At 37.4% G+C, this 12,797-nt stretch overlaps 1 protein-coding gene across 5 annotated transcripts in view; it reads left to right on the top strand.

Moving 5' to 3' along the window:
* The window catches only part of MYO1D (myosin ID), a 384,603-nt gene that overhangs the window by 157,998 nt on the left and 213,808 nt on the right, over positions 1 to 12,797 (top strand). For all 5 annotated transcript variants that reach the window (XR_001752521.3, NM_015194.3, NM_001411088.1 and 2 more), the window contains one exon: positions 6,932 to 7,139. Coding sequence is in view for 4 of the 5 variants with exons in the window: in NM_015194.3 (NP_056009.1) it covers positions 6,932 to 7,139 (208 nt within the window). In the remaining variant the exon portion in view is untranslated. The remainder of the gene's footprint in view (positions 1 to 6,931; positions 7,140 to 12,797) is intronic.

The following is a 12,797-nucleotide window of genomic DNA, read 5'->3' as shown; positions in this document are numbered from 1 at the left end:
ACAGTACCATTTGCTGAGATAAAATTGGGTAAAATAATTTTGAGGAACAGGATGTGGAACAGGAGTAAAGATGGAATCAAGATTATTCTCTTGACTATGTTAACTTTGACACATCTCTATGTTCACTTTGAAATGCCTACTAAGTATCTAGGCAGAAATATTAAGCCATTAGACTTTCATACCTGGAGTTCTGGAAAGAAGTTTAGGCTGCAAATAAGAGATTTTGGAGTCACTGGTAACATAGATTACATAGAAAGTCTCGGGACTGGATAGTGAAGAGGAGGAGGTCCATGACAATGTTTAGATTTGTGGTCTGGCATGAAAGAACCAGCAAAGATAAGAGAAGCAGCAACCAATAAGGTAGAAGAAAAACCAGAAGAGGATTATGTTACAGAAGCCAAGAGAAGATGGCTTTTTTTTTCTTTTTTTGACAGGGTCTTGCTCTGTCACCCAAGCTGGAGTACAGTGGCGCCATCTCAGCTCACTGCAGCTCCACCTCCCGGGTTCAAGCGATTCTCCCACCCCAGCCTCCCAAATAGCTGGGATTACAGGGGCGCGTCACCACACCCAGCTAATTTTTTTTTCATTTTTAATAGAGACAGAGTTTCACCATGTTGGCCAGGCTGGTCTCAACCTCCTGACCCCAGGTGATCCACCCGCCTCAGCCTCCCAAAGTGCTGGGATTATAGGCATGAGCCACCACGCCCAGCCAGAAGATGGCATTTTAAGAAGAAAAGTGTAGCAACTTTATGCTGCCCTTTATATGAAGTTCAAGAGCAGGCAAAACTAATTTATGGTGATAGAAATCAGAATAGTGGTTAGCTATTTGTATGGCAGACTAGAAAGCAGAATGGGGGAACTCTCTGAGATGATATATCTTGATCAGGGTGTCGGTTTCATGAGTATACACGTTTGTCAGAACTTGAATTATATACTTGAATTATATACTTAAATGTGTATATTTTAGTGTATGTAAATTTGATCACAATTTTTAAAATGTTTTTTAAAAACTAAACTTTTTTAAAAAGTAAATTAGTGGGCCAGAGGATCAAGCTGAAGTCTTGTTCCAGATCTCATCACAAAGAAAAAAAGATGGGAAGTATTAAACAAAGGTCTAGCCGCATGTAAGGTTGATCCAGGAGCAGCAAAACCCATGTAACAGAAGGACTAGAGGAAAGAACACCAAGAATAGGGGAGAGGCACTATTCGAACAGTGGCCAGGGATTTGCATGAACTGAAAAAAGACGAATCTTCAGATTAAAAGGATACACTGATTGTCAAGCATAAGAATTTTTTAAAAACTTAAAAATACATTTGTTCACTTTTAGAATGTTAAAGAAAAATAATTATAGCTCCCAAGAAAAAAAGACAAACTGCCTTTGGGGAGTGAGAATCACGCTGACATCTGGTTCCTCATGAACGTTTGATCAAGTAGACGAAGGAGCAAAATGCCTTCACAGTGTAAGGAAAGGGCTTTCATGCCTAGAATTGTATTCTGTGTCAAAATACCATTCAAGAGTGTGAGTAAAATAAACAGCATTTTCTGGCATACCTAGTTTGAGAAAGTTTATTACTCATAGACCCTCTGAAAAATCTTCTAGAGGATATACTTCAGCAAAAAGAAAGATGAATGCAGAAAGGAAACATGTGGCAGGATATATGCAAAAAAGCAACATTGAGCAAAGAAATCTGTAAAACTTTTTGTTAAATCTAAACAAGTACTGATTGTAAGGGTGGGGAAGAAGTCTTTAGTGATAATCTGGAACAAAAATTAAAATGGGAGTGAGAAGTAGAGATAATTAAAGATTTTGTCCTATTTATGGAAAGGATATTATAGACCGTGATTAACTAGACAGGAAAAGAATTATGTGTTGAAATTTTCAAGTGAGTTATAATAATAGTTGTGAATATTTTGAAATGTTTACTGGATGTACTAGATACTGATTTAAACATTTCACATATAGGAAGTCACTGGAACTGACAACCACTTGAGGAGTATACATTATTCCCCTTTTATGTGGCTCATCCAGTGATGATGAGAGAAAAGATAATATTTTCTACAGTGAATTTTTGCTTTTAGATTCTGCAGATTTTTTGCAAGTAGTTTAGGTTTGAACCTGAATTTTTGCTTGTGACTTTTCTTCATTTTCATTTATTTTACTGAGAAAAGAGAGAAGGATTTAAAACATGCTGATAACCTTAAAAGCTACTAAAGTCCTTTAGGGAGGTAAAACTCCTTGTCAGAAAGCAGATGAGTTCAACTTTTTAATTAGCAAGTTCAGATTGCTGGTTTGCCAGAGAACCAGGGTCATGCAGTTTGCTGGCATGAAAGAAGGCAGAGTGCCTCTTGCCTGCCATGGGAGCTGAGCAGTGGGGCTGTAGGATAGCAATCCAGTTTCTGAAGCGTGCCTGAAACAAACAACACCAGCACTACCCATATGATGACCCAGATGTAGACCCCTACTATAGTTTGGTGTAACAAATTTGAGAGGTTTCTGATTTCACTTTTTTTCATGTGACATTGTTTGGTATTACCTCTGTCTTTATATTAAAACTTTTTCATTTGGCTTTGATCTCTGCCCCCATCTAGCAAGTGAGTAGGCTTTAAATGATTTCTTTTCATTCATTCTGCAAATATCTATTGCCTCATAGTATGGCAGGCAACATGATAGGCACATGGTATATAGTGGGGAACAAAACAAAGTCCCTGCCTTCATATTAGCCACAGACTAGGGAGGGAGACTGACATTAAGCAGATAAACCCACAAATCAGTATGATTACAAGTTGTGATAAATCATGTGAGAAAAGAATAAATAAAACTAGTTGCCTTAGAGAGAATATTGGGGGTAGAGGGTTTGTTGATATACAAAGATCAAGAAAAGACTAAAGGATGAGAAGGAGCCAGACTTTCAAGGACTAGATAAAATGCATTCCGGGCAGTGGGAACAGCATGTGCAAAGACCCTGAAGTAGGAAGGAGGCAACCGCATTACAGAACCCCAAAGAAGTTAACATGATTGATGGATAGTGAGGAAGGAAAGCAGCCAAAGACAAAAATGATTTCAAGCTTTTTAGAAAACTACTCTGACTGATGTATGCAGAATGGATTGGAAAGGAAATGGAAAATAATTTAGGAGTCTGTTGTAAACTAGAAGGTGGCTTGCCTTTGAATTGAAGCAATAAAGATGAGGAGAATTGTTAAATATATTTTGGAGGTAGAGTCAATAGAACTTGATGATGGATTAGAAATCATGATAGGGCAGGGAAAGAATAAAAATATTCTCAGGATCCTGGCTTTAGTAACTGGGTAGATTGAGGTAGGAAAGACTGAAGGAGTAATTAAGATGCCTTCAAGACCTGTATAGACATTGGATATATAAATCTGAAGCTCATAACTGAGGGCTAGACTAGGGATAACACACAAATTGAAAATATATGTTTATATTTTATATACTTATAAAATATACATATTTTTGTTTTTATATTTGGAATGTTTTATTAAAAGTAAGTGGACTAGATGAGGTAATGTGGGGAGAGAATACATAGAAAGAAGTCCAGGTCTTAGGCTTGGGACACGCCTGCATTTGGGGGTATAGTAGTAGCCAGAGTAGCCAGAAAATCAGATTGACAAGATATATCCAGGGAGGCAGAAGGAGAGCATGCTGTCATGGAATCTAAGAAAAGAGATATGTCAAGAAGAAGGAAGTAATTAACTGTAATTAGGGAGTAATTAACAGATGCTTCCTACATATCTACTATCTTAACAAGAAATATGAAAAGCCCTGTGAATGATTTATATTCCTTTGGGTATATACCCAGTAAGGGGATTGCTGGGTCAAATGGCATTTCGGGTTCAAAATCTTTGAGGAATCACCACACTGTCTTCCACAATGGTTGAACTAATTTACATTCCCACCAATAGTATAAAAGTGTTCCTGTTTCTCTGCAACCTTGCCAGCATTTGTTGTTTCTTGACTTTTTACTAATTGCCATTCTGACTGACGTGAGATGTTATCTCATTGTGGTTTTGATTTGCATTTCTCTAATGATCAGTGATGTTGAGCTATTTTTCATATGTTGGCCGCATGTATGTCTTTTTTTGAGAAGTGTCTGTTTATATCCTTTGCCCACTTTTTAATGGGGTTGTTTGATTTTTTTTTTCTTGTACATTTGCTTAATTTCCTTTTAGATTCTGGATATTAGTCCTTTATCAGATGGATAGATTGCAAAAATTCTCTCCCATTCTGTAAGTTGTCTGTTCACTCTGATGATAATTTCGTTTGTTGTGTAGAAGCTCTTTAGTTTAATTTGTCATTTTTGCTTTTTTTGCAATTACTTTTGGTGATTTCATCATGAAGTCTTTGCCCATGCCTGTATCCTGAATGGTATTGCCTAGATTTTCTTGTGGGGTTTTTATGGTTTTGGGTTTTACATTTAAGTCTTTAATCCACCTTGAGTTAGTTTTTGTATAAGGTATAAGAAAGGGATCCAATTTCAATTTTCTGCATATGGCTAGCCAGTTCTCCCAGCATCATTTATTAAATAGGGAATCCTTTCCCCATTGCTTGTTTTTGTGGATACATGCACAGGTATGTTCATTGCAGCACTATTCACAATAGCAAAGACATGGAATCAACCCAAATGCCCATCAATGAAATGATAGACTAGATAAAGAAAATGTGGTACATACACACCATGGAATACTATGCAGCCATAAAAAGGAAAGAGGTAATGCCCTTTGCAGGGACATGGATGGAGCTGGAAGCCACTATCCTCAGCAGACTAACAGAGGAACAGAAAACCAAACCGCACATGTTCTCACTTATAAGTGGGAGCTGAACAATGAGAACACGTGGACATATCGGGGTGAATAACACACACTGGGGCCTGTTGGGGTGGGGGTGGGAGAATGGAGATCATCAGGAAGAATAGCTAATGGATGCTGGGCTTAATACCTAGGTAATGGGCTGATTTGTACAGCAAACCACCATGGCACACATTTGCCTATGTAACAAACCTGCACATCCTACACATGTACCTCAGAACTTAAAAATAAAATAATTATTAAAAAAAAAAAAGAAAGAAAAGACATATGAGAAAACTTTAAAGATTCATGTAAGGCACAAAGCAGACTAGATCAAGTGGGAAAACATCTCTTGTTCTTGAATAGGACAACTCAACACCATATAAAAATTAATGGATTCACTGAGTGCAGTGGCTCTTGCCTATAATCCCAGCATTTTGAGAGGCCAAGGCGGGCAGATCACTTGAGGTCAGGAGTTCAAGACCAGCCTGGCCAACATGGTAAAACCCCATCTCTACTGTTAACAAAAAAATTAGCTGGGCTTGGTAGTTGCCTGTAATCCCAACTGCTCAGGAGGCTGAGGCAGGAGAATCACTTGGACCGGGAGGCGGGGGTTGCAGTGAGCTGAGATCGCACCACTGCACTCATAGATAGAGCGAGACTCTGTGTCAAAATAATAATAATAATAATGTATTTAATGTTCCAACTCACTAAATCTATCAAGGGTGCTTTGGGTCTTTAAAAATTGTTTATTCACTGAATTCTGGTTTTTTTGCCTGGAACTGTAAAACTTGATTCTGAAGTTCATTTGGAAAAATATGTGTGCCAGAATAACTAGAAAGACCTTTAAAAAAGAAAAGAATTAGGAAAAACATTAAAATGTACTTGTATCCTCTATAATTAAAACCATGTGGTAGTGATGCACAGATGGACAGACACAGCAATGAAACAGACCAGAAAGTCCAGAAATAAACTGAAGCACATATGATAAAGGCAGCATGTTAATCACAGAGGGGAAAGATGGACTTTTTAATAGTGTTGGAACAGCTAGACAGCCATTTGTTAAAAGATAAAATTAGATCCATACCTCACACCATATACCAAAAAAACCCTCTAAATGATCAGAAATCTAAATGTGAAAAATGAAAACATACAAGTACTAGAAGAAAACATAAATGCATTACTCTATAACCCAAGTGAAGAAAGCTTTTCATACAATGACTTAAAATTTAGATGTAATATAAGAAAAAAACTAAATTTGACTACATGTGTTAAACAACTTTGCATGATGGAAAAAGCTCTGTGATAGCCTTCTAAGATGCCCTCTACCTCCTGGTATCCATGCCCTGTGTAATCCCCTTCCTGTGAGTGTAGGCTAGACCTAGTGATTTGCTTCTGACAAAGTAGAATATGGCAAAAGTGATAGGATGTCACTTTTGAGATTAGACCACAAAAGACTGTGACTCTGTGACTTCTGTCTTGTTCACACTCACACTCATGAAGCAAGCCGCTGTGTGGTGAGCTGCCTTAATGAGAGGCCCACATGACAAGGAGCTGTTGACTGCTCGTATGTAGAAATGCAATTAATTTTTGTGTGTTGCTCTTATGTGCAGCAACACTGCTTAATTTTCTTTTAGTTATAATAGTTTTTTTATCTAGAGATCTGCTTGATTTCCTTTGAGGAAAGTTACATTATACATAAGTAGTATCCATTTTGTTTTTCTGTCAGTCATTTACCAATTATGTCTTGGTCTCACTATGTCGACTAGACCTCCAGAGCAATGCCGAGCAGGACCCATGACAGAGCCACCCTTCTCTTGTATCTGTTTGTAAAAAGAATGTTTCTAAGGTTACCCCTTTATGAACAATATTTGCCGTAGGATTTTGGCAAATAGACTGTATGAGCTTGAGGAAGTCCCTTCTATACCTAGTTTAGTAAGAGTTGTTATCTTAAAGTGTTTTATTTTACTGAAGCCTTTTTTGCATACCTTATGAGGCTAATGAAATTCTATTGATAGTTTGCTAAGATTTGGTTTTCTATGAGGTGTCTTGCATTTTATTGAATAGTTTTCTATTGAGATGACCATATGGTTTTCTCCCTTAACCCTGTTTCTTTTTTTCATCCAGGTATAAGATGATCTCTGAATTCACCTGGCCCAACCATGACCTTCCTTCAGACAAAGAGGCTGTCAAGAAACTAATTGAACGGTGTGGTTTTCAGGATGATGTAGCTTATGGGAAGACCAAAATTTTCATTCGAACACCCCGAACATTGTTTACCTTGGAAGAACTCCGTGCCCAGATGCTCATAAGGATTGTCCTCTTTCTACAAAAGGTAATTTTATATTTTATATATAAGGATAAGATTTTGCTTTTAAGTTCTTAAAAATTTGTTGCATATTTTCTTTAATTCAAGAAATATTCCTGGAAGATATGTTGTTTTATGTCTATGCATATCTTAAAATGTTTTCTGTTGCCTTCACACATGGAAAACTTACTTGGTTGCCCCAGTTCAAAATTATTTTTGCCCAAGTTCAAAATTATTTTATCTTCAAAACTCTGAAGATATTTTGTTTTTAAAGTTGGAGAGATGTCTGAACCAGTCTTTCTGTCCTTTACTGTTAACTGTGTTTTTTCCTTCAGCTTAAATGCATAAAGGACTTTTTTTTTCCCCCCCGAGACGGAGTCTCACTATGTCACCTAGGCTGGAGTGCAGTGGCACAATCTTGGCTTACTGCCACCTCCACCTCCAGGGTTCAAGTGATTCTCCTGCCTCAGCCTCCCGAGTAGCTGGGATTACAGGCGCACACCACCACACCTGGCTAATTTTTGTGTTTTTAGTAGAGATAGGGTTTCACCATGTTGGTCAGGCTGGTCTCGAACTCGTGACCTCGTGATCTGCCCACCTCGGCCTCCCAAAGTGCTGGGATTACAGGCGTGAGCCACCACGCCCGGCTGCGTAAAGGACTTTTAAATCTTGTAAGTAAAAAATGTTGCCAACATGTTTGAAATTGCCTCCTTCACCTATCATTACCTACTCACCACCACTTGACCTCAGTGCTGACTCAATGCTCGTTAGTTGATGGTGCTGTACCTGTCATCATTGATCTGTGCAAGGCCCCTTCTCATTTCATTCACTAATTCATGTATTTCTTTGTATCCCCCATACCCTTTCCCATATCTTCCATATGAACTAAAATAATGCAAAAAATTGTAGAGCTATATGAAAAATCATATACCTCTGTGAGGATGTCCTTGGGATATATACCTAGGTGAAAAGTTGCTGGGTCATAGGGCATGTGTATACCTAATTGATATAAATAGTGCCAGGTTATCTTGCATGAGCCAGTTTGCACCGCCAACAGCTGTATATGAGGGTTACTATGTGCCATATCCCTACCAGTATCTTCCAGCTACCTAAATTTTGTCAGATTAATAGATAGAATGATATCTCATTGTTGTTTTACTTTGTATTTCTCTGATTACCTTTGAGTTTGATTATCTCATTAAATGCTTCTTTGCTTGCTGTATTTTCCTGTAAACTGTCTATTCATACTTTGTTTTTCTACTCGAGCTGGTACTTTCTTGTTGATTAGCAGAAATGCCTTCAATATTCCAAACATTAACCTCTTATTTACTTTAGATGTTATATATTCTCCTATTCTGTAAGCATTCTAATGAACTTTATCCATAAGATGCTTTGTGGACCGAATTCTTAATTTTGACATAATCAAAGTCTTCAATATTTTGCCTTATAGTTAGTGATTTGGAATTTTCTTTAAGAAGGCTTTTCATGTCTCTCAGTCACAAAGATATTCTGTATTTTCTTCTATGAACTGTATGGTTTTACCTTTCACATTTAGGTCTTTAATTCATTTAGAATCCACCTTCATACATGGTTTTATATAGGAAACTAGTTTTATTTTTCTCCATATGGTGAGAAAGTTTTCTCAATATCATCTACTAAGCAATCTGCCCTTTTCCCATTGATTTGCAGTGCCACTTTTATTATATATTAAGTTCCTGTATGTAGATAGGGAATAGTTTTATTCACACTTACACACACATCCTGTCTCTGTGTGCTCTATTCTGTTCCATTTTTCTATTTGCCTGTTTTTGCACTAATGCAACACAGCTTTTATTATATATATTAGTGTGTTAGAGGGTTAGTTTATCTTTTCTACTTCTTTATTAAGGTTGATTAACCTATACATAGACCTTTATTCTGCAGTATACATTTTAAGTGCATAAGTTTATTAAATTCAATAATTTTTATTAGGATTGAACTGAATATAGATTAATTTGAAATGATTAACATTTCTACAATATTAAATCATCTTATTAAGAGTGTAATATAGGTTTACTTAAATCATCTTTATTGAACTTTAGACTTAGGCCCTATGAATTCATGGTTAATTCCTAGATACTTTATTATTTTTGTTGCTGGGGTGAATTTTTTTATTATGTTTCCTACATGGCAGTGTTAGTACAGAGAAATAATATTGATTTATGTTGCTTTATCTAAATCTAGAACAAAACCTTTCTTGATTTATATTTGTTGATTCTGTTGGCTTTCCTAGGTAAATAATTATATCATGTATAAATAATGAATTTTTTCTTCCAGTTGCCAAGATGTTTCTAAGTGTTGGTTTCTTTTTATTTATTTTGCCTAGAGCTCAGGAAAACATTTGGACTGGAATACTAAATTCTGTTTCATCCCAAAACATTTTCCTTCTATTAATTTTTTTTTAATGTTGCTTTCATTCAGTTCTATTTCTCAAGAATGCTTGTAAATGTTTCTGTTGGATCTCTGTTTTCTGCCATAGTAAATTATTTTCAAGTATCTGTTCTTCTCTGTCTTCAAGTCCTGGAGTCCTTACCCTTGGATCTCAAGTACTTACCTGTAGGCTTGTTTTTAGGGTTTTTTTGGTAGATTCCTCTGCCCCCAGATCTGTTACTATGTCTTTTTTTCTTTCTACCTATTCAAGAGATTGATTGATTCAAGCTCAGAGTTAGACTCTGAACCAGGGTGACCATACCTCTCAGTTTGCTTAGGACAGTCCTGGTTTATGGCAATTGCCTGTTGTGACTATTAATAGTACCCCTTTTACTCTCAAAGTGTTCCAGTATGGATAAACTACATAATCACTCTACCCTGGAACTCACTTTCTTTCTACATGGTGCCCGGTAGATTCCTCTTTTTAAATCTACAGCGATAGTTTGTTTACTTCCTTCACAATTGTCAGTGTCCCACAGACTTCAGTCTGTGGCAGCTCTGCTAGCCAAAGATGAGCCCAGCTCATATATAAAAAGATGTAATTCCAGGTGTGCTACTAGGGCTGCAGCCACTAGGCTTCTTCCTTTCCTGGTTCTCTCTGACAGCACTGTGCTTCTAGAAATGCAGGGTGCCATTACCAGTCCCTACCTCTGCTTTTTTTCTGGTGAGAAATTAGTCTCTGTCTAGGAAAGAGATTCTAAAAGAGAAGGGACAGTGGCTTCAAAAATTATCACATATGCAGTGAAGGGAAAGCTGTCCAGTCTTCTCTGTGAGACAGATCTCGCATTTCTTCACCATGAGGCAGTGGAGTAGGGAATATAAGGGTCTCCTTCCCTATGCTCAAGAAGACCATTCCAGGGTATCTTATGTGCGACCTACTGATTATGTTTTTTTGGATCAACTCCACAGGCCATAAAATTGGAGGAAATTTCTCTGGGCTTTTCGGAATGGGTCATCAGTCACCTAACCATGTGATGTGTGTTTTTACTTTTTCTGTATCCTTATAGAAATTTAATGGGAAGTTAGGAGAGACAGTATCAGGAGCTGTTATTTTAAACAAGAATCTCCAACAATTGATTTTTATTTCCTTTTAAAATAAAAATAGCTATACTGATAATATAAATAAATTATGCTCATTGTAAGAACAAATTTAAAGCATACAAAAAATATAAGGGAAAATGTGAAAAAGTCACCTAAAACCCCACCATCCAGAAGTAACATCATTAACATTGTGGTGGCCATCCTTTTTGATATCTTTCTGTGCATATAGACAAACATATCTAAAATAATATAAAGAAGATCATAGTTCATATGAGTGTATTTCTATGATCAACTTTATCTTTTTCTGCAGTACTTTGTACTATCTTTTTTCCCCACATTTTTCCTCTCTGCCCACATTTCTTCTCACCCCCTATGTCGAGAGTCCTCAAGACTATCCTGTTTTGATGATTCACTAGAAGGATTCACAGGACTCAGCATAGTGTTGTACTGATGAGTAGAATTTATTACAGCGAGAGGATCAAAGCAAAATCAGCAAAGGGAAAATGCACAAGGAGTGAGATCCAGAGGAAACCAGGAGCAGGCTTCCAAGAGTCTTCTCCCAGTAGAGTGGCACCAGATGCACTCAATTCCTCCAGCAATGAGCTGTGTCAACACATGCCAAGTGTTGTCTACCAGGGGAGCTCCTTAGAGACTCAGTACTCAAAAGTTTTTACCAGGAACTGGTCATTAGGCACCTTCTGCCTATCATGTACCAAAATTCCAGATTCTCAGAAGGGAAATCAGATATTCAGCACAATCTACATTATTTGTATAAACATAGTTTAAACACAGTAAACCAATCTTATTACTTAGGGAAAGTTTTGTATCAACGTAGGGAGCTGTTGACCAGCAAGTTCCCAGACACCAGCCAAGGACCAACAGACAGACCACTGTAAGCATAGTAGTCTCAGGCCTGCTATGTAAACTCTTTTATGGGGACCCCCATTAGTCTTCCCTAAACTTTAATAGACATCTTTATACATGTAGCCTTCCATACTGGTGCCTTCATTTCTATGCGCTGAATTCCCAGGAGTGAGATTGTTAAGTTGAAGAGTATATATGGTTTTAATCTTAAGAAATCATATTTCAACCCACAATGCAAGTGAACTCTTTTCTCTAAATTTTTGACCACAGTGGCTTTTACCAGGCTTTTTAATTTTTTCCCTTCTGATCAATAAGAAATAATACCTTATTTCTACATTTTTTAATTTCCATGACTACCCTTGAGTGTGTGCTTATTGGCTTTTTGGATTGCCTCTCTTGTGACTTATTGATATTCTTGGCCCATTTTTATATTGGGTTGTTCATCCTTTTCCTATGAATTTGTGGGAGCTATCTGTATATAATATGCATTAATATTATGTATTACAGTTATTTTTGTTAGAGTTGTCATTTGACTCTGTTAATCGTAAACTCTTCGATGTGAAAATTTTCACTCTCAATATAATGAAATTTGTCTTTTTCTTCATAGCATCTGGGTTTCTTAAAAAAAAAATTATGGATCTGGGAGGCTGGGCGCAGTGGCTCACACCTGTAATCCCAGCACTTTGGGGGGCCGAGGCGGGTGGATCACAAGGTCAGGAGATCGGGCCCATCCTGGCTAACACGGTGAAACCCCGTCTCTACTAAAAATACAAAAAATTAGCCAGGCATGGTGGCAGGTGCCTATAGTCCCAGCTACTCAGGAGGCTGAAACAGGAGAATGGCGTGAACCCGGGAGGCGGAGCTTGCAGTGAGCTGAGATCGCGCCACTACACTCCAGCCTGGGCAACAGAGTGAGACTCCATCTTAACAAAAAAAAATGTATAGATCTGGAATTTATTTTTGTACATGATTTTGTCCCAGGCGAATAACTAGCTGTTTTAATTTTATTTAAACATTTCTATTTTTTCCACTAAATTGAAATTCCACCTTTGTTCAGTGTTAATCTTCCATACATTCATGAATGTATTTCAGGACTCACCATTTTATTCTACAGTCAATTCCTATGGCAGTACCATGCTGTTTTTGTTATAGTACAGCATAATAGATTTTAATATCTGAGAACCTGGCTTTAAGTGTATTTTCATACCTTTTCTGTGCCATAATAGAGATTTAGGCCAGGTGCAATGGCTCATGCCTATAATCCCAGCACTTTGGGAGGCTGAGGTGGGCAGATCACTTGAGGCCAGGAGT

This window comes from Homo sapiens, chromosome 17 (assembly GCF_000001405.40).
Source record: "Homo sapiens chromosome 17, GRCh38.p14 Primary Assembly".
In the NCBI taxonomy this organism is placed as follows: Eukaryota; Metazoa; Chordata; class Mammalia; order Primates; family Hominidae; genus Homo; species Homo sapiens.
Note: the sequence above shows the minus strand (reverse complement) of the source record. Positions and strands in the feature narration are given on the sequence as shown.